Source organism: Homo sapiens, chromosome 1, assembly GCF_000001405.40.
Source record: "Homo sapiens chromosome 1, GRCh38.p14 Primary Assembly".
NCBI lineage: Eukaryota > Metazoa > Chordata > Mammalia > Primates > Hominidae > Homo > Homo sapiens.
This window is the reverse complement of record NC_000001.11, coordinates 61,635,397-61,661,089: the sequence shown is the minus strand read 5'-3', so window position 1 is coordinate 61,661,089 and position 25,693 is coordinate 61,635,397. Positions and strand designations below refer to the sequence as shown.

General features: G+C 42.1%; 1 long non-coding RNA gene and 1 pseudogene across 2 annotated transcripts, besides 2 other annotated features; both read right to left on the bottom strand.

Annotated features, from left to right (window-relative positions):
• Positions 1 to 4,961: 4,961 nt before the first annotated feature.
• On the bottom strand, positions 4,962 to 6,848 carry MGC34796 (sepiapterin reductase (7,8-dihydrobiopterin:NADP+ oxidoreductase) pseudogene; annotated as a pseudogene). Its single transcript, NR_073400.1, has one exon. The product of NR_073400.1 is annotated as a sepiapterin reductase (7,8-dihydrobiopterin:NADP+ oxidoreductase) pseudogene (transcript).
• A 6,040-nt stretch (positions 6,849 to 12,888) lies between these two features.
• Positions 12,889 to 23,982, bottom strand: LOC107984964 (uncharacterized). The gene is made up of 3 exons (XR_001738095.3): positions 23,942 to 23,982; positions 23,782 to 23,849; positions 12,889 to 13,034 (listed from the first exon to the last, which is right to left on the bottom strand). It is a non-coding gene; the product is annotated as an uncharacterized LOC107984964 (long non-coding RNA).
• Positions 19,077 to 19,126: an enhancer, noted in NCBI's record as "active region_1113". NCBI's record gives its function as "activates an Ori minimal core promoter by ATAC-STARR-seq in GM12878 lymphoblastoid cells {active_cell/tissue: GM12878}" and the evidence as "EXISTENCE:reporter gene assay evidence [ECO:0000049][PMID:35858748]".
• Positions 19,337 to 19,386: an enhancer, noted in NCBI's record as "active region_1112". NCBI's record gives its function as "activates an Ori minimal core promoter by ATAC-STARR-seq in GM12878 lymphoblastoid cells {active_cell/tissue: GM12878}" and the evidence as "EXISTENCE:reporter gene assay evidence [ECO:0000049][PMID:35858748]".
• Positions 23,983 to 25,693: the final 1,711 nt, after the last annotated feature.

The window sequence follows — 25,693 nt, the reverse complement described above, 5'->3', positions numbered from 1 at the left end:
ATGTAAGACATGGCTTTCTTCCTCCTTTGCCTTCCACCATGATTTTGAGGCCTCCCCAGCCATGTGGAACTGTGAGTCAATTAAACCTCTTTTTTTTTTTTTTTTTGAGACGGAGTCTCACTGTATCACCCAGGCTGGAGTGCAGTGGTGCGATCTCGGCTCACTGCAAACTCTGCCTCCCGGGTTCACGCCATTCTCCTGCCTCAGCCTCCCAAGTAGCTGGGACTACAGGCGCCCGCCACTACGCCCGGCTAATTTTTTTGTATTTTTTTAGTAGAAATGGGGTTTCACCATGTTAGCCAGGATGGTCTCAATCTCCTGACTTCGTGATCCGCCTGCCTTGGCCTCCCAAAGTGCTGGGGTTACAGGCGTGAGCCACCGCACCCGGCCTAAACCTCTTTCTTTTATAAATAATCCAGTCTTGGGTATGTCTTTATTAGCAGCGTGAGAACAGACTAATACACTTGCTCAGCTAGTTCTTGGTAGAACCAAATAGCTGCTGCTTTTTCTGGTCTGCCTTATCAGTAATGTCAGTCCTGGGAAGGAGAGCACCATGGTTAGGAGTCAGAGTTTTTACTTTTTAATCACACTTCCGTATGATGACATCCTGTTTTCTTTTGGACTCATTTTAATTAGTTCTGGGATGGGGACTGCATGCAGTGGTTGTGGTGTGGGGGAGAGGTTATACAGGAATCCAGGGCACAAGGTCTATGCCCAGTGGTTTGCCTTCTTCACAGCACAGACCATCCAAACCAAATGTGACAAATGGGCAGAATCTCATAAGTATTCCAGCTCTTCACTGCCCTAGTTTGATTACATTGTCCTGGATGGCATTTGGAACTCAGTTCAGGGTGCGTATAGTTGAATTATGCAATTTGCTGATATGCAATTAACTGGAGTAGCAACACATTCAATCTAATGGGGGCCAGACAGAGACTGCATAATTCTTAGGAGCACAAGCTGATTATGCAGTTAAGTGATATGCACTTAAGAGAAGTGCGCCACATCTATCTGATCCCATTTCTTCCAATAGATTCCTCACAGCACTTTACCCTAGCCTTTCTGCTTTTATGGTCAAACATACTGTAACCTGTATCTACTTGAAATGAGAACCTTACAGTTCGTATGTAGATTTGGGATTCATTTCTTTAAAAAAAAATCAATCTTTTAAAATCTTAACTCTTGGATACACAAATGGGTAGGCAAATGAGAAAAGAAAGGGGCAAACCTGAGGTTCAGCATGTCTTGGTCTCAGGGATAGGAAACAACACCGGAATTGTGCAATTTAGGATGCTTCATTTTTAGTTTCTTTTCTCTCTCTTTTTTTTTTGTTTGGTTAGGAGGTTGTTTCAAATGCAAACGTGAGGTGCATGAAAATATTTCTTTTTAAAAGCAAAGGACTTTGCACTCAGTATTTTTTAACTTGAAAATGGATATGGTAGAAAGGCAGTCCTTTTATGACAAACTTCAATTAAATGACAGTTCATTTGGGAGAGCCAGTTTTAAGTTATTCTCATAATGATGGATTGTTAATTTAATTTGGCAGGTTTTACTGTTTCACTGTATGCTTGCTGCATGCCCTGGATTGACCTAAATCCTTTGGGAGACCCCAAGAAATATAAAATATGGCTGCTTATCTTCAGCCTTCTTGGGAGGTCATGACCCATGCTTACAAAGCAATTGAAGAACAATGAAACATAGCATATTATTAGGTGTCAAAAATGGTTGTTAACGAGACTAACAGGTAAAAGAAATCAGAGAAAACTGGGCTAGAGTTTTTCATCACTAGAGGGAGACAGGGAGAAGCAAGAGTTAGTGCTTCACTTAGATCGATCAAAACAACTCTGTAAGGGTATTACTATCCCCCATTTACAGATGAAAAAACTAAGGCCCAAGGATGTTAGGGAACTTGTACATGATCCACAGGTAGCAGGAAATGGAGTCAGAATTTAGAATTAGGTTTATCTGTCTCCACAATTCCTTTTTGGAAGTTTTAAGCAAGAGGCCATGGCAGATAGGCTGTGGAGGATTCAGACATCTGCCAGGAGAATTAACTGTGTGACCATCATGGTCCCACCCAGCCTTGGGGTCCTGTGGTCTGGAAAGATTTCAAGAAGCAGGTGGGAGTTGTGGTCTCAGTTTTGGGGGAACTGTTTCTTATCTAGGAGAAGAGATGCCAGCCTTGTAGATGCAGATTTTCCTGGGTTGAATAGATTTTTACAAGTTCAGCGAAATCAAATGTGGTGATTGAGAAAAGAACAGAGTAACCCAGCATTTGTGACTGGTTTGGTGGGTCAACAAGAGAGAATGACAAAGATTATTGTCATCAAATAGCCTTTCCTGAGAGGGCCACATAGTCATCAAATTCCCTTTCCCTAAAGGAAAATCTGCTCATGGCCCACCAAGAATGGGGAGCCAGATACGACTGGGGCCAGCTGGGACTGAATTGGTCCCTGCCTTTTAGATTTGCATCAAAATTACTTGATACCCCTGCTCAGGATTTCACAAAACTGCAATCAGGTAGCCAGGGCTGTATTCTCATCTGGAAGCTTGACTGGGAAAGACGACTTTTAAGATTATTCAGATTGTTGACAAAATTCAGTTCCTTGCAGCTATAAGACTCATGGTGGCCTACTTCTTCAGTGTCAGTATACTTTTGGAGAGCATTTTATAATTTGCAAATGCTTTTTCATTCTAAAATTAAGCACAAATATGCTCCTTCCATTGTCATCTAAGGAGTCCACCATTCAAACAGCTGCCCAAACTGAAATTCTGAAAGTTACCCTTGATTCCTCTCAATTCCTCAATTCATTAGCAAGTCGTATGGGCTACACCTCCAGAATAAATCCTGACTCCAATAACTAGTTTCCACTTCATAGTCACTACCATTAACCAAGCCACCACCATCTTATCTAGCCTAATGCAACTACTTTCTTGCTTTGTTGTCGTTGTTTGTTCTTGTTTTTTTTTTTTTAGAGACAACGTCTTTCTCTGTCACCCAGGTTAGAGTGCAGTGGCACAATCACAGCTCACTGCAGCCCCAACCTCCCAGGCTCAAGCAAACTTCCCACCTTTGCCTCCCTTTGCAGCTAGGACTACAGATGCACACCACCACGCCTGACTACTTTTTTTAGTTTCTGAAGAGATAGGGTCTCACTACGTTGCCCAGACTGACCTTGAACTCCCGGGCTCAAGTAATCCAACAACCTCAGCCTCCCAAAATGCTGAGATTACAGGTATAAGCCGCTGCGCCCAGCCTGCAACCACCTCCTTACTGCTCTCCCCACTTTCCCTCTAGTCCCACCAAATCCATTCTCTACAGAGCAGCCAGGGAAGTGTATAAAATATGAAAATAAGATCATCACTTTGGCCAGGTGCAGTGGCCCATGCCTGTAATCCCAGCATTTTGGGAGGCTGAGGCAGGCGGATCACCTGAGGTCAGGAATTCGAGGCCAGCCTGGCCAACATGGTGAAACCCCGTCTCTACTAAAAAAAATACAAAAAATACATAAAATTAGCTGGGCATGATGGCAGGTGCCTCTAATCCCAGCTACTCAGGAGGCTGAGGCAGGAGAATAGCTTGAACCCGGGAGGCAGAGGTTGCAGTGAGCCAAGATCATGCCTCTGCACTCCAGCCTGTGCAACAGAGTGAAACGCTGTCAAAAAAAAAAAAAAAAAATCATCACTTTCTTATTCAAAACCTTCCTCACAGCTTCTCATTGGGATTACAAAAAAAATCTAATTCCAGTTCCTTCATGATCTGGTCCCTGCTTGCCTCTGTGATTTTATCTCCTACTCTCCCCCTTGGTCATCATGTTTTGGCCATGCTGGGTGCCTTCTTTTCCACAAATATAAGATGACCTGTCTGACTCACAATTTTTGCACTTACTTTTCTGTCCAACTGGAATTCACTGTCCCTAGACCTGCACATGGCTGGCTACTTTTCATGGTTCAGTTATCAGTTTGAAGTCATCACTTTACAGAGAACATCTCTGGCTGCTTTTAGGCAAAGTAACAACCACCTCTGAACTTAAAATCGCCCTTCGTCCCATCACTCAGTTTCCTTTTTCTCATAGCACGTGTTACTGTCCAAAAATAACTTCTTCCTTCTTTCCCTTTCTCCTTTCCTCCTTCTCTTTCTGCCCCCATTCTTTCTCCCCCCATTTACTTATATATCTATTTTCTTTTTCTTTTCTTTTTTTTTGAGACGAAGTCTCCCTCTTGTTGCCCAGGCTGGAGTGCAATGGCATGATCTCAGCTCACTGCAACCTCCACCTCCTGGGTCCAAGTGATTCTTCTGCCTCAGCCTCCCGAGTAGCTAGGATTACAGGTGCCTGCCACCATGCCTGGCTAATTTTTTTTTGTTTGTTTGTTTTTTGTATTTTTAGTAGAGACAGGGTATCTCCATGTTGGCCAGGCTGGTCTCGAACTCCTGATCTCAGGCGATCCACCCGCCTTGGCCTCCCAAAGTGCTGGGATTACAGGCGTGAGCCAATGTGCCTGGCTCTTTTTTTTTTTTTGAGGCAGCGTTTTGCTCTTGTTGTCCAGGCTGGAGTGCAATGGCATGATCTCAGCTCACTGCAACCTCCGCCTCCCAGGTTCAAGCCATTCTCCTGCCTCAGCCTCCCGAGTAGCTGGGATTACAGGCATGCACCACCACGCCCGGCTAATTTTTTGTATTTTTGTATTTTGTATTTTTAGTAGAGACGGGGTTTCACCATGTTGGTGAAGCTGGTCTCGAACTCCTGACCTCAGGTGATCCACCCACCTCGGCCTCCCAAAGTGCTGGGATTACAGGCATGAGCCACCATGCCCGGTGGCTATTTTTTACATGAATATTGCCTTGTCTTCTTTCTAGAAAATATGCTCCATGAGGAACTTTCAGCACTGTGCCTGGCACATAATAGATATTCAGTAAGAACTTATGGGATAAATAAATGAACCTTGTAAGGAGGACATTAAAGGGGTTATTAATTTCCATTTTAATTAGAAATATTAGGTCACTTTCCCAAAGTCAGAATATTGTATGGTGTTTCCCCATGAGTCCTCCAAAGACTGGGACCATGTTTTCTACATTTTTGTTGCCCCAGCAGTCACTGGTATGTAGTGCCAAGGAAGAGGATAAAGCAGTAGTTAGTGAATTGGAATCCTGACTGCTCTACTGTGTGTTACCTTGGGCAGGTTATTAAACTTCTCTGTGGCACGATTTCTTCATATGTAAAATGGGGATAAAAATAGTACTTGCCTTATAGGGTTATGAAAATCAATTCAATTCATATAGGTAAAGCTCGTAGCTCAGTGGTTGACACATATGAAGGGCAATAGATGTTCTTCTTCACTCACTTTTGCCTCCCTTTTCTTTTTCTAGGCATTTAATTAATATTTGCATTAAATTGTTGACCTTTCTATAGTTTTCAAACTGTTTTAATGAGTCATCGTATTTCTTTTCAGTTTCTCTAATCCCAAGCAGGGCTTCTTTCTTGACTTCAATCACTCACTCCTTGAAAGGTAGCAATGTTGCCTTAACTGAAAAGGTTAAGTAACCCTCTCCCTTTTTTTTTTTTTTTTTTAATTTTATTTGTATCTGCCTTGGCCATGTACATAGACACCCAACGGCCCCTTCTCCCAGCCTGGGGAAGGGGTGGTGGATTCTGGAGGAAGTAGACATCAGAGTGAGGACACAAAGTTCAACAGAAGCTGCTGCTCCCCTCAGCAAGGGGCATCTGTGTGAGCGGGGACTTGTACCCTCTGCTCTTCCTCCCTACCAGGCCATCTGCGAATCTGCATGCGTTCTCCTATTTGACTCAGGTCACTCTTCCCTCTCCCCATGGACTAGCTATGAGCAGGAGACACAACCTCTTCTCTTGTGTGTTTCAGCTTCTTTTCCTGCTCTTCCCATCCCTTAAATTCTATTCCTGGGGATAGAGACATGAATACCCATAACCTCTCTCCTAAGCCTCCTCATAATCCAGGGTGCCACATCCAGACTCTCGACAACTGGTAAGGCCAGCGACCTGGAAGCTCATCACAGCAGGCTATGTGTGAAGGTAGGACAGTAGACATGAGTGTTTATCTGTGTAAGGCAGGACTGCCACCATGGCAGGGTGTGGGGAGCCACGGGGCTCTGGGGGTGTGTCTGAAAGTGGGGGCAGAAAGGTTCAGGAAGCCAAAGACATGGGCTTATTTATAGTAGAAGTCCACGTGGGCTCCAGGCTTGAACACCCCCTTTTGCAGCGAGCTCAGCCGTTTCTGGGCTGACACCCTGCAATCCACCAGCTCTCCCTTTGCCTTCAGCTCCTGCAGCCTTTTCGCATGTCTGGGTCCATGGAGGTCTACCGGGCTAACCTCCGGGACACGTCTGTGTCCACAGGACCTGGGGCCTAATTCGGCACCCTCACATTAGGTTCCTCCGACGCCAGGACCTCAACAGAATGTTACCAGCAGCCTTTCCCGCACAGCACAGCGCTCAGCCTTTGAAGGGCTGCAGGGCACAGAGGGTTGAGATGTTAACCACAGTTCTGTTGAGGCCAGGACTGGTTGGTAAGGCCTTCGAGACGCTGCAAGTCCGGCAGAGAGAGCATGGAGGTCAAGTTCAGCGCCCAGTCTTTGTTCACTTGAGTGGAGTCACCCAGGTCCACGAAGCCTTTGGACACATCCCCAGGAGAGCCCGCGTTGTTGATGAAGAGCAGTTGCTGCAGCTCCTCGGTCCTGGGGAGCTGACGCAAGGCCCCAAGCAGCGGGCTGCAAGCCAGCCTCGGCGCCCAGGTCTGCGGGCACCCGCACGACGCGCAAGTCAGACCGCCCGGCGCCCAGCTCGGCCTCCAGCTGCCGCAGCGCATCGTCGTTGCGGGCGTTGAGGACCAGCATGCAGCTCGGCGACAGCAGCGAGGCCAGGAGGCCCAGGTCAGCACAAATACAGCACGCTCCAGGCCGCCCTCCATGCCGCAGTCCTAATCATGAACTAAGTCCCTGATAAAGGGGGAGGGGGAAAGGAGCCGCCAAGGCTGGATAAGGTTTTGTCTTCAACTATGAGCAGAAATATTTAATATTTCGGGCCTTAGTCATTTCCGGAGACTCCAGCTCCTTGCTCAATTTTTAGAAAGTTTTTGTTTTTGTTTTTTTTTTTTTGAGACAGTCTCGATCTTGTAGCCCAGCCTGGAGTGCAATGGCCCGATCTCGGTTCACTACAACCTCCGCCTCCTGGGTTTAAGTGATTCTCCTGCCTCAGCCTCGCGAATAGCTGGGATTACAGGAGCGCCACCACACCTGGCTAATTTTTGTATTTTTAGTGGAAACGGAGTTTCACCATATTGATCAGGCTGGTCTCGAACTCCTGACCTCAGGTGATCCGCCCACCTCGGTGTCCCAAAGTGCTGGGATTACAGGCCTGAGCCACCGTGCCTGGCCAGGGCAATCCTTATTGTGCTTTCTTTAGAGATGGAAAGAATGCTCCCCTCTTTCCTCGTCTTTCATCTTCTGCACCCAGCTCTTAGTAGGTGCCTTAAAAATGCTAGTTTTATCTCTCATCTCCATGCCTCACCAAAACGGCTAGGTTTGAATTTCACTTCAAAAGTAAGAGTCAAACGAATGCTGATAGCAGCTTTACTCATAGTAGTCAAAGATTAGAAGCAACCAAAGTTTTACCAATAGGCGAATGGATCAACTGTGCTCATGGCCTAGCCGCACAGTGGAATACTACTCAGCAAGAAAAAGGAGTGAACTATCAATGCACACAGCAACATGGGTGAATCTCGACGACATTATGCTGAGTGAAAGAAGTCACATACAGAAGAGTTCATACCATGTGATTCTACTTATATGAAATGCTAAAGAAAAATCTAATCTAGAGTGACAGAAAGCCAACCAGTGGTTGCCAGGGGCTAGGGTTGTGAGTGGGGATAGACCAGCACAAAGGAATGGTTTTGTTTTTGTTTTGTTTTGAGATGGTGTCTTGCTCTGTCACCCAGGCTGGAGCACAGTGGTGCAGTCTTGGCTCATTGTAACCTCTGCCTCCTGGGTTCAAGTGATTCTTGTGTCTCAGCCTCCCAAGTAGCTGGGATTACAGATGTGCACCACCATACCCAGCTAATTTTTGTATTTTTAGTAGAGATGAGGTTTCTCCATGTTGGCCAGGCTGTCTCGAACTCCTGGCCTCAAGTGATCTGCCTGCCTGGGCCTCCCAAAGTGCTGGTATTACAGGCATAGCCACCATACCTGGCCATTTTTGTTTAATTTTAATTTTTTTTTTCAATTTCACTCTGAACAAAGCATGTTGACACAAAGGAATCTTTTTGGATGTTGGAAATGTTCTATATCTTGATTACAGTGGTGGTGACATAGGTGTATTGCTTTGTCAAAGCTCATGGATGAGTACAATTAAAATGAGTGCATGTTGTTGTATGTAAACTATACCTCAATGAAATTTGTTAGGGAGAAACAAGAATCAAGATAAAATGATAATACAGTTAAACCACACTTGACAGTTTCTGGTAATGGTGTTTTTTCCTTTTTATCCATGTTCTAAGGAAACAATAATAACAACAAAAACCGTTGTTGTACAGATATTCCAGTAAGGAGCATTGGCCACTCCTTGGAGTGAGGAGGAGTTGTAGAGTGTTATGCTTTTATGGTTTGGGAAGGAGAACATCTGTTGTGTTCCATCAGCTTTGTTCCTTTGTTCCCAAAAGGTGTGGGGTGTGTTCTGTTACTTTATAAAGCTTTCTCAAGTTCTGCCCATCTTCTTTCACTACCTCACTTTCCTCCTTTCATTTTCTTCCTTTCTTTGTAATTCTTGGCCTGCCAAATTCTATGAAGTTCTGAATCACAGAAAAGCAGATCACCTCACATTCATCTGAAAAGCCAGGTTTAAACAGGAAAAATAAGCAGGAAATTTTCAGGCAATCGTCTTGAGATAATCCAAGTTGAAGTTCTGCTTTTTACTCTTTTCTCACCATCTGGATTTCTTTGAATAATTAAGGTTAATTCTTTATTACTCTCCTTGTCTGGCCCAGTGAAGAAACATGGTGAGTTCCTGAGAGTTTGGAGCTTGTAGATCAGAAAAATAATGTTTACAAAATATGTAAATACTTTGGAATCAGTTGTATTAAACAAATTTTTTTTAAAAAGTATCATTTTTTTTTTTTTTGAGACAGAGTCTCACTCTGTCACCAGGCTGGAGTGCAGTGGCACAATCTCAGCTCACTGCAACCTCTGACTCCCTGGTTCAAGCGATTCTGCTGCCTCAGCCTCCCGAGTAGCTGGGATTACAGGCATGCACCACCAAGGCCGGCTAATTTTTGTATTTTTAGTAGAGACACGGTTTCACCATGTAGGCCAGGATGGTCTCGATCTCCTGACCTCGTGATCTGCCTGCCTCGGCCCCCCAAAGTGCTGGAATTACAAGCATGAGCCACAGCGCCCAGCCAAGGAATTATAAAAAATTTTCATCACGAAGGAGTAAAACGATGTAGAACTTTATAGAGTAAAATATGAAAACTGCCATGCCCAGAAATAACCATCTTAATTTTTTGGTGAGTACCTTTCTTGTTTATTCTCTATAGGTTTGTCTTATGTCTTAAACATAAATATGCCATACTGTAGGTACCGTTCTGCAACTTGCTTTTTTCAACTACCAATATTCTTATAAATCTTTTCACATCTGTACATATATTACGTTGAAGCATATGAAATTGTTATTTATGTCAATAGCAGTAAAACATTGGCAGTTTCATATGGTTAACCTAATACATCTACTCCAGTATTTTAGTGGCTATATTGTATTGTAAGGTGTGGTTGTAGCCTAATTTTTTAACAATTCCCCTGCTGATGGGCAATTAAGTTGTTTCTTCCTTATTTTGCTAAAATAAACAGAACTGTAACAAAAAAGAAATATATGAATATTTATATACGTATTTAGGTGTATATATATTATATACCTTTGCATATATATGTATGTATCTTTATACATTGTTCTATCTATTTTTGCATATATGTATCAGCATTTCTATAGAATAGTTTGAGTAGACTCCTAGACACATAACTGTGGGTCAAGGGGTTTACACATTTTACATTTTGATAATTATGAACAAAGTGTCCTCTAAAATGTCCCTAACGATTCATATCCCCAGAGTGTCCTTTCCCCCAACACCTTCAATAATCTCATGGGTAAATTGGTTTTTGAAGCATTTCAAAATGGGTTATTTTATTCAGCAAAAGATGTAAGAAAGACCTGCTTAAGTCCAGCTCTGTGCTTAGCCTGGAAAGTAAACGTGTGTAATTAATGTGGTCACTGCCTTCACAGTGTGTTTATTCTGATTGGTGAGACAAGACTAATGCACACACAACACAGTTGCAATGATTTCAGTGTCATAATTACCAATTATCTCTAGCAAGATTAATTAAAAATATACCAACTGCTTACACTGAGGGTCCATGGAAATCAGACAGAACTGAGTGGCACTCTGAGTTCCTTCACTTACTATGTGCATGACCCTGAGTTTCTTTATTTGTAAAATGGGGATAATAATAATATTAACTTGGTGCAAAAGTAATTGAGGTTTTTGCCATTAATTTCAATGGCAAAACTGCGATTACTTTTGCACCAACCTAATAGTTTCTTTTTTTTTCTTCTTTTTTTTTTTTTTTTGGGACAGAGTCTTGCTCTGTCACCCAGTCTGGAGTGCGGTGGCATGATCTTGGCTCACTGCAACCTCCGCCTCACAGGTTCAAGCAATTCTCCTGCCCCAGCCTCCCAAGTAGCTGGGATTATAGGCACCCACCACTATGCCCAGCTAATTTTTTGTATCTTTAGTAGAGACGGGGTTTCACCATGTTGGCCAGGCTGGTCTCAAACTCCTGACCTCGTGATTCGCCCGCCTCAGCCTCCCAAAGTGCTGGGATTACAAGCGTGAGCCACTGCGCCCGGCCCCTAATTGTTTATTTATGGGGTAGTTGTGAAGATTAAATGGACAGTGCTTGGCACTTAACAAGAACTCCATGGAATGTTAGCCATTGCCATTTGCCTTCACTTTGAGAGCACCTACCAGCCTCATGGGCCTATGGTTATCCCTTGAAGGATGTGGCATCAAGTACTGGATACAAATATTTCTTATGTGGTGTGTCTAACCCTGAGGGGATTGGGACCATTGTCCCCCTCTTTGAACATTACACTCCTACTAGTATAGTTTAGTTGCTAAGGTTTCCGCTCTAAAGTTATTTTGTATTCTAAAAACTTTAAACATTCCCTGTGCTTTCAAACAGGGGGAATGCACATTGCTCTTTCACAACGCCCTGATTCTTGGTTGAAAAAGGGCCACTTCAATTAAAATATAAAATTATATTTTAGAAAGAAGACAGTAAGGGGAGACACTGTAGATATTTTTAACCAAGAATAGGATGGTGCAAAGTTAAGCCATGGAGATACCATAGCTTATCCTAACAGACAAATTCGCTACATTCATTAATAATGTTTCAGAAGCTGTTTTCTTCCAGGTATGTAAATTTTGTGTTCACTGTGGTAGCATAAGCAGCTGGGTGGAAAAGTGTCTGGTCCATTATGCATGACCATGAAAGGACTGTAGTCCATAAACATACAGCTCCCTTCTCTAGTACATTTATTAAATCTGTTCCAATTAATTGCCCATTTGATGCTCAGGTGGTTGTAGCAACTGCTGCTCAATGGAAATTGTGAGAAAAGATCAGATAAATGTAAACAATGGACATTCTAACAAGAGGGAATTGTCCCTACTGGAAAATCATTAGGAGGAAGGACTTTGGTGCATGTAAATTGCCTTTGGAAAGAGGCATCTCCATCAGCTGCTAAGGATACCCTGACAACGTGGATAGGTCTGGATTGATAGGCAGCAGCAAGGAAATGCTAAAAATGCCACTTAAAGGCAGGGCTGAAACCACTGCTGCTCACTCAGTCCCAAGGTTTTTTGTGTTGGGAGTCCATTGGCATAATTATTTGTCACGAATGAAGTGATTCACAGGCTATCTGAAGTAGGTTAACTGTTCTCCCCGAGACAGTCTTGACCTACTTAGGCTTATTGGATTCCTTTGACTATTTCACGAAAGTTCTAGTCTTTTTCCCCAGTAAAATAACCTTTCTCATACATACCTAGGATTTTGCTTATAATCTCTGGGGTTTCATAGAAGCCCCAGAAGTACCATGGACCCTGGATTAAGAAATCCTGCTTTGTGCTCATTTCCTGTTTTCTTCGCCCTTTACTTCTAGCGGTGTCAATGGTAGTTTTTCCTTCTCAGGATGAATGTCTACCGACCTTCATCCCACAGAGTTGATCCTTCCTTCAAGTCTGGTTCATGTTTCACCCTTTTGGAGCTCTTTGTGCTCTGAGCTCTATGGGCACTTGGAGTTGGTAACTCTTAATTTAGTACCCAATTGTTTCTAGGACTACCTGATTGTATCCACCGCTAGCACAGCATTTATAAATTCATTCATTCAACACATGTTTAATGAATGCCTACTATGTGCCAGACACTGTTCCCAGACAGTTTTTGTGCTCTATGATAATCAGTATCATACAGCATTTATACATTCATTTATTCAGCACATATTTAACGAGTGCCTACTATGTGCCAGACACTGTTCCCAGACACTTATTGTTCTGCGCTATAATCAGTATTATACAGCATTTATACATTAATTTATTCAACAGATATTTAATAAGTGCCTACTATGTGCTAGGCACTGTTCCTAGACACTTATTGTACTGCACTATAATCAGTATTATACAGTCAGCTTGCCAACTTCCCCACTAGACTATGTCCATAGAGGCAAGGACCAGGTCTCCCACCTTGCCACATCTCCTTCTTTATTCTCACTCGTCTGTCAAGGCTCAGCTCCAATACCATCCCTTCTGGGATGGATTAGGCAATCTCTTCAGTGCTCCTCTGGTGCCCGGTGCTGACCACTGTTAGAGCTCCTACCACATTATTTTGAAGTCATTTGCTCCCATATCTGTGTCCCCTGGTGTAGTCTCCTCCGTGCCAGGGTCTTCCACCCAATACAGAGCCTGGCAATGGGAAAACTCAGTAAATATTTGTTAAATATCTAAATTTTCTCTCACCTCCATGCCTTCAAACATGCTGTTCCCTCTGCCTGAAATGCTCTTCCTTCACTATTTGCAAATTCTTATCAATCTAAATATCACTTTCTCAGGAAAGTTTTTTTGATCTGTAGATGAAGTTAGGTGCCCTCACACAATGCTCCCAACATAACTTTGGACTTCCTCTAGCATTGTACTTTATTGAATGATCCTCCCTCGATATTCTCAGGGGATTGGTTCCAGGACCCCCTCAGATACCAAAATCTTCTGATACTCAAGCCCATTACATAAAATGGCATAGTATTTGTGTATCACCTATGCACATCCTCCTGCATACTCTATTTTTATGTTATTTTAAAATTCTTTACTCTCTTATCTAATTTTACATTTTTACCTTTAAAAAATATTTTTTTGCCAGAATGCCATTGACAGAGGGCACCTGTATACTTTAAATCATTTCTACATTACTCATAATACCTAATATAATGGAAATGCTATGTAAATAAGTTGTTATACTATATTTTTTATTTATATTATTCTTTATTGTTGCAGTGTTTTTTTTTGTTGTTGTTGTTGTTTTCTGGCTGTTTTCAATCTGTGATTGGTTGAATACATGAATGTGGAACCTGTGGAAATATAGCGCTGACTCTACTTCCTTGTTTGATATTTACATTCCTTGTTAGCATATCAGCTTCAGTAGGGCAGGGGTCATGGCTATTTTATTTGCCTCTGTATAGCCAGGGACTAGGATATTGTACAGTCCTTTACTACTCAAAGTGTGGTTCACAGGCCAGCAGCATTGGCATACCCTATGAATTTGCTAGCAATGCAGGCTCCCACGCTCTATCCCAGACCTACTGAATCAGAATCCACAGGTGATTTACATATGCATTAAGGTTTGAAAAGCAGTGGTCTAGTACAAGAGCATTCAATCAATAAATGCCAAATGAATAATGAGTTGAATTGAACAAAATGGAATCAATTTACTTTTGGCACCCCTATTGTCTAGCACAGGGCCTAGCTCAAAGTAGGCACTCAGTAGTGTTTGAGGAAGGAATATTGTCTTCCACTGTTCTGCATGCACTGTGTTTTCTTCAACTAGCTTATAAGCCAAACGTTAGGGCCTTTCTTCTTAATCTCTATAACTTGAAACTCCTCACTGAATGCATAGTAGACATTCAATAGGGATTCAAAGCCAACCTGATACTTCAATGTTGGGTAATATGTTATCTACCAGGTTGGATTCAAGCAAGAGAGTTTGTGGTGTGGGGTGTGTGAAGTGACCAGGGATGTTTCCAGTTGTCTAGAGACCCTCATGTCTTGATAGCAGTGCTGTTAGTCTCAAGCTTTAATTCCGTAAAGAATAGCTCATGAAAGGCAGCAGAATGGAGAAGAGGCCATATCAATGAGAACCTGGATTTCTGGTTTTCACTCTTTTCTCAGGACACTGTTTGGTTTGAAGAGGTCTAATTATGCCACTTCTACCAGCAAAACCAGTGGAACAGATCCTTCTGAGTAGTATGTTTTAGTGTAATTCCCTCTTCCATATTTTCTCAAGGAAAAAACATTTGCTTATTGGCATTTGGTCTTAGTATTAGGACAGCTTACAGACTGTGGGCAAAGGCTGTGTGAAAATAGGCATATTGATGCATAAGGTTATTTTTTTATAACTAGGTGAAAGTAAAAGTTGGATTAAAATTATATTAATTCATGTAGTGAATATTCTTGATGCTTTGGGCAAACGTTGCACTCTGTTAAACCTGGCAGACACTTCTTGAGCACCTCCTGAGCCCAGTGCTGCAGATTTAATCATTGACCTTGAGGAAATCAAGGCTAGAGAGGGAGTCTGTATCCTGATTTGTTTTAAAAGTATATTCATTAGAATGTCAAAATCTAAGAGGTGTGGCAAGAACTTACGTTTCTTTAAATTTGTGGGATTTTAGAAAGAATAATTGGAATCTTGAAATTCTGCAGTGCTTGATCTTTAAATTGTAGATCACGAACTTTCCAAAATAGTTTCAAGATTATCCTGCATTGGAAGGAGTCAGGTAGAACAGCAGAGGTGGCCATCAAACAGTGTCTCTCTGGCTCTGCCCTGTCTGCTCTGTGAGTATGTCCACCATCTTTTTCTATCTGACAGTTCTGGAAGAATTCAAGGAGGTTCTCACGTGTAATTCATTTATTGGTCCTTGGGTGCTCAGTGGTGGACACTGTTTTGGTCCTTTCCTTCTCTTGTTCCTTGTAATGAATCTTCTTTCACAACAAAAGCTGGAGTCCTGGATCAGCAAACACAGTCTAGTTGCAGGCCCACTAGAGGCCTGTCACTGCCACTTGGTGCCAGCAGGCACGTATGGCAATGCCTTTGTTGGCACACCCTCCAATTCTAGTGCTGCCACCCACTCTGCCTACAGATACATTTGATGCCTTTCCTCTCCTTCCTCGCCTGTGCCCAAAAGTCTCTGAAACAAAACTGGAGCTCACACCTGAACCTAGTTAGCAATCTGATCAGGAGCCAAGTCAACAAGGAATTTCGGAGTCACAGCCCTTCTATTCCCCACTTCATATCCCCTGCTTGCAACCTCATCATGGCAGGAGAGGCCTGACATGAGAAGTCTGATTTTTTGTTCAGATGTCCCAGATTGTGCCCGTTTTCACTCTTACTTTCCATCTCCTTGGGAGGAATAGACTTAAAATAGACTTAAGGAAGCTATTATGTAGGTGTATTTGTAATAGGACATATGTCTATGCTCCCCACACCCGGCAAAGCCCAGAGAAACACTCCTTTTATCCCTACAGTTAGCTCCAGCCTCCAAGGAGGAGCAGATTTCCCGAGGCTGTTTGTCCTAGACCGTCCCATTCCCAGTAGGGGTCTGAGCTGTTTGGTTTTATTGCCCACCTTATAAATGAGAACAGTCTGGTTTGATCAAGAGGTTAAGAATCCAGACCATGTGCCCAGCACACAAAGCAGTAAGGAGCAAAGGCTTTGTTAGTCAGAGCTTGACTCCAAACTGACTGCCACTTTCTTATCCAGTCTAAGACCCCGTTACCTTATCTATATAATGGGGAAATCCTTATGAAAGTGAGAAACATTAAGTAAGATTATATATATATTGTGTTTAGCTTAGGTCCTAAATCACAGTAATCACTCAGTTATTGTTTGGTACTAATAATAACAAAAATAGCCAAGTGGTTTATTTTAAAATAGCAAAATCTGTAGCAATAGTGTTATAACATGTCTTCTTGTCTCCAGCTCCTTACCCTCCGCAATCCATTTTTTATTCAGCTGCTAGATTCATCTCCCTAGAACATTGTGATCATATTACACCCCATGTGAAAATGTTAGATCGCTTCTTATTACTTACACCTAAAGTCCGAAGTTGTCTTTGCATTCAGGCCTGTTGGTCTGGCCCCAACAAAATATTACCCCCGTTTCTCTACTACTCCTCTTCACACCTCCTCCACTCCAATTAAAATAAACCAACATTCTTCATGTACACCCACACCCTGCACACTGTTTGTTCTTTTTTATCCAGAATCCAGATCTTATCTCTCCTTTGATGCCTGGCTTAAGTGCCACCTCCTCCACTAAGACTTCTCCAGCCCATAATAAACCTCATAGCTCTTGATGGACCCCTTGTCATCACACAGATATCTAGGTAAAATTCGTGCTTAAAATTTATATGTATATCTCTTACATCAGATGATTGGTTTTAGCTATCTAATTCATCCTTGTATTCCTAAACCAGAATTTCTCAACCTCAGAACTATTGACATTTTGGGCCAAATAATTCTTTTGGGGGGTGAGTTACTGTGTGCATTGTAGAACATTCAGCAGCATCCCTGGCCTGTACTCACTAGATGCTAGTAGCACTCCAAAGCCCCAGTGGTGACAACCAAAAATGTCTCCAGACATTATAAAATGTCCTCTGGAGTGCAAAATCACCCCCAGTTGAGAACCACTGCCCTAGATTCCAAACCATGGAGGTTTGAACATGAATGGTTCTCAGTAAATGCTTATGAAAGGAAGGAAAGAGTTTGGCTTAGGCCCTTTTAAGTTTGAGACAGTAGTGGAATATATAATTAATGATATTCTTTCAGCATTTGGGAATAGAAGCACAGAGTTCCTTTGAAAGCTCAGAACTAGAGATTGATATTTGAATGCCACTGGCATAGAATCAGCTAATAGGCATTTCTTGTGTTACATAATGTTTTGAAGTCCCGAGTCAGATAGGAGTTGGGATCCAACCACTAGCCTTACCATTGTAAACTGTCACTGTAGGTGAGTATTTTAACCCTTTTGAGCTTCAGTTCTCTTGTTCTGTAAAATGGGGGTAATAATTATAACTCGCATGGGGTTGCTCTGAGGATAAGTTAGACAATGCATGTAAAGTGGTCATTTGAAAGCCTGGAATGTAGTAAGCACTTAGTAATAGTTCAGCATTATTATTAATATTGTGATTAATAATAATGATTAATTTTTAATCCATTCAGAGGTCATGACAGTGTTAGTTCCATTTTATAGACAGGTTGTGGTTAGAATCTGGATCTGCTAGGCTGGGCACAGTGGCTCACGCCTGTAATCCCAGCACTTTGGGAAGCCGAGGCTAGTGGATCACCTGAGGTTGGGAGTTTGAGACCAGCCTGACCAACATGGAGAAACCCCGTCTCTACTAAAAATACAAAATTAGCCGGGCATGGTGGCAGGTGCCTCTAATCCCAGCTGCTCTGGAGGCTGAATCAGGAGAATCACTTGAATCCGGGAGGTGGAGGCTGTGGTGAGCCGAGATTGCGCCATTATACTCAAGCCTGGGCAACAACAGTGAAATTCCATCTCAAAAAAAAAAAAAAAAAAAAAAAGAATCTGGATCTGCTTAATTGCTATCTTTCCCTGGATCATATTCATCTCACATAATGCACACAGCATCTCACTTCCCAGAAGGATCTTCACCTTTTCATCTGGAAACTGAGTGCTAACTGCCTACGGCAAAAATTCCTTTTCAATTGGTAAATAACATCTTCTTCTATAACTATCATTGGGAAACTCAGTAACTGCTTATTAAGTGCTTTGGGTAAATAGATGGAGGAGATATTGTATATAAGACACCTGTGTTGCCAAAACAAAGCACCTGCCTGTTTGTAGCTTACTAAACCACAGGCTCAAAGATTCTGTCCCTCAGGCTTTAGGAAATGAATTCATAAGTTTAGCAACCATTGGCATTAGCTCCAGGCAGCGTTTGATTTTTGGAGTAGAGCAGCATGAGCAGAGGCTGTGGCCCAGAGCAGAAGCTGGGGCAGAAGCCCAGGGACAGGCCAACAGGTGGGTGGGGGAAGCTAACTTCCTCCTGTGAGAGCTAATCGGCTGAGGGCATCCAGCAGGCCAATGCAAAATGAGTCTCCTGCCCTTAGAAAACAAATACCAGACAGGTCAGGAAAATTTAGCCCCAAACCAGTTCTGTCACCAACAAACTGGTTGACCTGGGAAAAGGCATTTAACCTCTTCAAGCTTCTGTTTATTCGTTGGCAAATGAGGGCATGGGATGAAATCGGTGGTACTCAATCACTGCTCTGGCACATCGGAGGTGGAACACGACTAGCCTACATGGTGCAGGATTTTTGTAGTAATTACTAGCCATCAAAAATGCCTGACAACTCATACATATACCTGAAAAACAGTGTTGGGGTTGGGGGTTGGTTTTCTTTTTATCATATTAGGTTTCTGTTATTTGATAGATTGGATTATTCAGTTCATTCATTCATTCATTCATTCATTCAAATGTTATTGCCTGAGCATGCTATGTGCTGGGCCTGTCCTGGGACCAGGTGCTGCCTTTGCTTTCAAATGGGGTTTACCTGGAACCAGTTAAAATTCCTAGGTCATAGGAGGTGACATGATACCTTTTCTCCTCCAAATAAGAATCGCTGAATCTGATATGACTGTGGGTAATCTGGTCATGGAAATCCCTGCTTCCCAATCCTTACCACTTCTACCGACCCCCATTCCTACTGGCTAGGAAATTCTCTAGGCAATTATCAAAGTTCCCCCAGCCCCCACCGGGTTCCTGCAGACGCCGAGGCGTCTACTAGGTTTGCCTTCTGATTCCTGTAGGTGGAGCCAGATCCCCCGGCTGAGAAGCCCTGGGCCTGCTCTCTGCGGCGGCCGCCGAGCGGTAGGTTTGCTCTCCAGCTCTCTTTTCCTCCTTCTCCCTCTCTCATGTGCGGTCTCCCTCAACATCCAAACCAACCGAGTGCGTCTGAGGTGAAATCGTGCCAGACTTAGAGACGGCTGCCAGGTTTCTCTCAAGTCTTGGCTTAACAAAAGAAAGCAAATTACAAAAATGGAAATTTTCAAACTAGCGTTCAGTGGTATTCAAATCGACGTTTGGGTAGCGCACAGGCACAGACCGCATTCGTGCTATTTTGTGATTAAAATGATACCAAAAATACCTCCTTGCTTTGGTTTTCGTCTTCGAAAACGACTTCTTTCCTTCTTCTAATTTCCCCCTTACTTTTGGGAGCGGCAAACCCCTGACCACTCTAGAATTGCTAACATTTGGACCGGCGTCTGTTGAAATCTTGCCTCTGCTGACTTTTTTTTTTTTTTAAGAGTTGAACTTTAAAAATGTGTGCACTTTGCAGCCTGGGGAAATACAGATAAAGAAGTTTCTAGGCACTTTCCCAGGAAGTTCTGTGTTTTGTGTGAGGAACTACAAGTTCTATGACAGTGCATAAATCGTCTTTACGTCTCATCTTGATACCGGGAGCAAACCTGAATGCGCGTCTTGCCAGCATGCATGCTACCTCGTTCTCCTTTGAGCATGAATTGTGTGCTCTGTCTCATGCTTTTAAAACATGGGTTTAAGGTGGCCATTGAGTTGGATCTTGAATGATTTTACTTAACATGAGGTTTTATAAAGAGCTTGATTGACCACGTCCTGCTCGATTATTTTTGCGGTTGCTAGACAAGGCCCTGTCCCACGTGGGTTTGTGAGAAAGGTGCTCTCATCATCACCCCACCCCCAAGACTGCACTATTTCTTTCCTTGGAAGCGTTGACTGTCTCCTTCTTACACAGCTGTGTTTGCAGTGCCTGGAGACAGGTGGGGGAGCAGTCTTGGAGGCCGAAGCTGCCAATTCCTTCTCTAAGGACTGTCTGAATAGCTATTAAATTTTAAAGCTCACACGCACGCACACACTTGTTTTGTTTGTTTTTGGTGGTGGTCACTCACTGTGCCTTCCCGTTTGTTGTACAAGGGCAGCTGCACCAGTTTGCCAGAGTGAGATTAAATGTCACAGACAGACATTCTATTGTGTGCATTCGCCAGCCCACCTAAGCATCACCTTGGGCCACTGCCATGTCTTTCTAGGTGCCTCAGAAAGCTGGGTCCTGTAGCATTGGCGGAGTTGTGGGACTGCTTATGAATTTCGGGAAAGAGGTTCTCCCATCTGGATAGGTAAACTTAAAGCTCCCACGAACACTGCAATACTCAGGCAGTAGTCACATCAAGAGGTTCTTGTTGGTTTGGGCCTACACGAATTAGGATTCTCTACCTGGCACAAGTGACTGTGGACAAATCAAGCTGCTAGTATTTTTCAGATTTCAGAATAGAGGGATGACATTTTAATCTGGAATCAGATACCCTGCTCTTTTTACCCTTTAGCCCCAAATACCCAGTGCTCTTCAGGACCCTCGTGCCTTTGCTTGTGCTGTTTCTTCCTCTGGGAATTTCTCCCCCATCCTCTTCTCTGCTTAGTAAACTCTTGTTGGTCTTTCAAGGCTTGTCTCAAATACAGCCTCTTTGAAATCTTTCATAGCCGTGCCCATGCACCGAATTTCCACCCCCTCCCTGTCATCTGTTAAATGTCGCTGTCTTGCTAGATCTATGTAACATACTACGTACTGCATAACTGTGTTACGCACATCTTGGTATGCCTCTTTCTCCCCTAATAGAATATACTCTTTGCCCAGGCAGGGAACACGTCTAATTTACCTCCTACTTCTCAGGCTAAAGATGCTCAGTAAAATCTTTTGAATGAATAAAGAAACATGCTTGGTTTTTTCATCAATTTCCAAGAGACAATGTGTTTACTTTCAGGCTCTCCTAGTTCAATTGCCAGACACCTATAACCATGTCCGTAGAGCTGAGAGTAAGATTTTAAAGTTTATATTAAAGTCTGATGTTCATAGCTCAGAGACATTCTTTTGGCTTACGGTAAAGGAAAGTTTGATGAGCACGTTGGTGGAAAATTTCTGTATTCCCAGCACCTGATTGATGCCTCTGTTCCTACAGAATCCAAAGAGAGCAGAGCACTCCTGCAGACATGGGAGCTTGTGAAAGTTGTGTAGCTCTCCTACTGCTTTGGTGTAGTCTTGCGGATTATACTAACAAGTTGTTATTCATTAGACTTTACTCATTAAGTCATTCAAACTAGAAACCTGAAAATGTCCTTGGAGCCTCCCTCTCCCTCACTTCCCACATCCAGTTATCACCAAATCATGTCAGTTCTTCTCCACAATATCTCCCAGATCTGCCCACTGTTCTCCATCCTTGCTATTGCTGTGTTCCAAGCCATTATCACTTCCCAGCTGGACAATTGCCAAAGCCTTCTAGTTAGTCTTTCTGCTTCTAGTCTTGCCTGCCTCCCATCATGTCATTCCCTGGCTTACCAGCTTTCAGTGACTGCACTTTGCATAATCCTTTGCATGGCCTTGTGTGGTCTGGCCCCCAGTATCTTTTTAGCGGCTCTCTCACTGAATATACTAGACTTCAGGTCCTTGAACTTGCCAAACTCTTGCCTACTTCAAGGCCTATCCATATGCTTACTTGCCTACTTCTTTTGGGAATACTTTCTCTCAGCGTTCACTCTCTTGGATCACTTCTCATCTTTCAGAATTCAACATACATGGCACTGCCTTGGAAATGCAGTCCATGCTTCTCCTTTCTACTTCCTCCTTTCTGGATAAATCACATCCCCATTATCGTTACTCCTGATGCCCTATTTTTCCTTCATATTACTTATTAGTGGTTGCAATTATAAAAAATTATTGATGTTTTTATGTATTTTATGTCTGTCTCTCCATCCACAGTAGATCAAATGAAGGCAGGGATCATGTCTCTTTGTTCAAAAGAGTTTACCAGGAGACCCAGTATCTAACATATAGTAGGTTGTCAAGAAATACTTTTTGGATAGTGCTGGAAGGAGAATGCTAGCAGGTCGTGTGTAACAGGCCTGTGACGTGAAAATAGTTTCATGCAAAAGAAAATGCTGATCTGAAATGAGACTTAAGGATGTTTACGCACATGGAACAAGCAAGGGGAAGACTTGAGTTTTGATATGATATCCCATGGCCTTTCCCCACTGCTATTTGAAAAATAAGAAGAGAACAAGAACAAAAATATTTGTTTTACAACTCTACCAAGATTCAGCCCTCCCCTTTCTCTCCCCCTTGCATCAAGTACATCCTGTACTTTTGGCAACATGTTGACTGGATATTTAAAAGCTGTGAACTGTTCTGAAAATTTCACATAGTGGGTTATGGGCCATGTGTGTTTGATCAAAATTCAATTACTACACTGTACCATACTTGGAAACCTATCATCCCAAGTTATGAAGTATGACGAAATAGGCGAACCTAATTGGTTCAGTATGGGAACAGTATCAACCAAGCTTGTTATGATAAATAGCTTCCTGTGTTAAAGGTTCTCTAGAGCTTATAAGTATCTTGGCTCACCTCCTTCAATGGAATAGGAATACTGCTCCCAGGGACCCCCTAGATCATTGTCCCTTCAATGCAACTGCAGTTCAGCGTTTTCTTCAATTTACTACCCCGAAAAAGAAAAATGCAGTGCAATTTTCCCTAGTCCTTCTCGTTTCTTCATTTAGAATTTGAGCACCTGGTAACTTCTTTAGCTTTTCTTGGCCTTAGAAAAACAATTTTTAAAGTTATGAAGCATTCCAATACAGAAAACCAGAAAATGACAGACATCTCTGTACCCACCACTCAGGATTAACAAATAATAATTTTTTTCCCTATTTCCATCAGATCTTTTTTTCTTTTATGTATCCTTTCTTATTTTTTGAGGCCAAACTCAGGCTACAGTATTTATTTATGAGATTTGTAAGTTAAGTCCTGAGATACTTTAAAACCCTTTAACCAAGAGGATGTGTATCACATTACAGAGAAGTACCTGTACATCGCATGTCTTTTCAGGTGTTGAAATGGACTCAATGAGAATTTCTGGATGATACTGTAGATAGGATTACAAGGAACCCTAGAAGAGGTTTGTTGGGGATGTAGGGTGTGGTGGTGCATGCTTGTTATCCCAGCACTTTGGGAGGCCAAGATGGGAGGATTGCTTGAGCCCAGGAGTTCGAGGCTAGCCTGGGCAACATAGTGAGACCCCATATGTATCTTAAAAATGTAAAAAACAAAAAAGAAATAGTCTTAACAGCTTGAAAAGATAAAGAAGTAAAATAAAACAAAATATTCCCATGCTTTATGGTTATTATGGGAATATGTACATACTTTTTCTTTAGAAGTGACATTTTGGGTTGGGTTAGAAGTATTTCCTTCTAGTGATCGCAGTAAAGGGCAAAACAATTGGGTGACTGCCATTTTAAATTCCAAAAAATAATCAGTAGCACTGGCATTTTCCTCAGAAGACAGCGTTAGGGCTGGGACAATTTGCATATATTTACCCTTAATTCAATCTTACCTTTGCAGTTGCTTTCCCAAGTTTGCTCTCATTTTATTCACCATTTGTAGTAGGCCATCCTGTTAAACCTGTTAACGAAAATGCATAATGCTAAATCTGCATTTCCCCTGTGGAAAAGTTTTGTGTTTTATAAAAAGTCGTTTTGGTAAAAAGCAAGAACCTTAGTTTGTCCTTGACAATAATTCATCAGTCATGAGTGCTGCAATGTATAACCACGAAACAGAGAAATATCCTTGGTGAAGGTAAATATGCAAGCCCACACAAAGGAAAAGTAAATACATTGCATGGTTTAGCAGTTTGAAATCACAATGCTGCCAGGATTACATTAGAGTCGTTCTTCTTGTTTTCTGCAGTACCATTAGGTTTACTTTCAAAATTGCAATTAGCTTAACAGTTGTGATTTCTAAAATGGCCCACTTGCCTTCCTTGTTTTCCTCTATCAGGTGGACACTAGTATCATAATCCTTCCATAATTTTTAAATAGAACTTCCAACAAGAAGTGCTCCCTGAAAGCCGTAAACTTCAAAAAATAGAATGTGACTGTAGGCACTTATGCTAATCTCCCTTTTGGCAAATCAGCTTTTTTTTGTATTGGATCTTGCCTGATTGAATAACACGGGAACTGCCAGAATAAATGCTATTATCTCTGTACAGTAATTAAGGAAATAGTCTTTGTCACTCTAATACGGACCAAGCTCTGCTTGCCTGTAATAAAGTTAAACGATAAAGAATCTGGAATGTAGAGAAAAATAAAGGGAAGTCAGTTACTAGCACGTGTTTCCTCCAGATGAGTAGTAGAGAGATGGAATGATGCATTTTGCAGAGACTGATGAAGAAGTTAAATCACTAAAACATATCAACTTGTAACATTTAATGAAATAATTATTTCAGGAAAAGAAACTCTTCAATTTCTATCTTTGGGAAGAGTTGATGGTTCCTTCCTTGGTGAATCTCAATGTATTATTTTAAAACATAGCTTCTCCAAATACAGGTCAAACCCTACTATACTAAATATCAGTTTTGAGACAGTTCTGTCAGTAATCGCAATAAACATCTCACTATAATAAAAATAGTGTTAATTACATAGTTTTGAATTGATACTGACAGAAGAAAAATTTCCCTTATGGATTTAGTGCACCCAAGTGTGGTGTTCCATCTTTTCCTCTGATGTTCTCAGTCATTCTCCTTCCATCTCTCTGTGTGTATTTATCTATCTTGGCTACTGTATATCTAATTATTTCAGACATGGCCAAGAGGAGCCTACGGGTACTGGCAAGTTTCAGAATAAACCTTACCTCAGAGCCATGGAATATAAGAAAACCAGTTTGTTTTCTTTAGTAGAAATTGAGGTGAAGGAGTGATATTGGGCAAAGAAGGAAACAGCACTATATTAACCATCTTCTTCAAGACTGTTGTGTTCCACATTTTGGAAGATCTGGCTCAGGGGTCAGCAAACGTTTTCTGTAAAGGACCAGATAGTAAATATTTTCAGCTTTGCAGGCCATATGATCTCTGTCATAACGACTCAATTCTGCTGTTGTAGTGCAGAATCACCCTGGACAACATGTAAACAGATGAGTGTGGCTGTGTTCCAATAAAACTTTATTTATGGACACTGAAATTTGAATTTCAGATAACTTTTATGCATTGTGAAATATTATTCTTCTTTTGATTTTTTCCAACCTTTTAAAAATGTAAAAACCATTCGTAGCTCATGGGCAGTACAAAAAACAGGTGGCGAGCCCACAGGCTGTAGTTTTCTGACTCCTGACCTAGTTGATTATAATCTTTTTTTTTTCACTTAACAAGTATCTGTTGAGTACCTGCATAGACCAAAATATTTTTAAAGCATTATGATAAATATTAATATATATAAGAGATTCAGCATTTATCATATATCTGTTGAACTTTC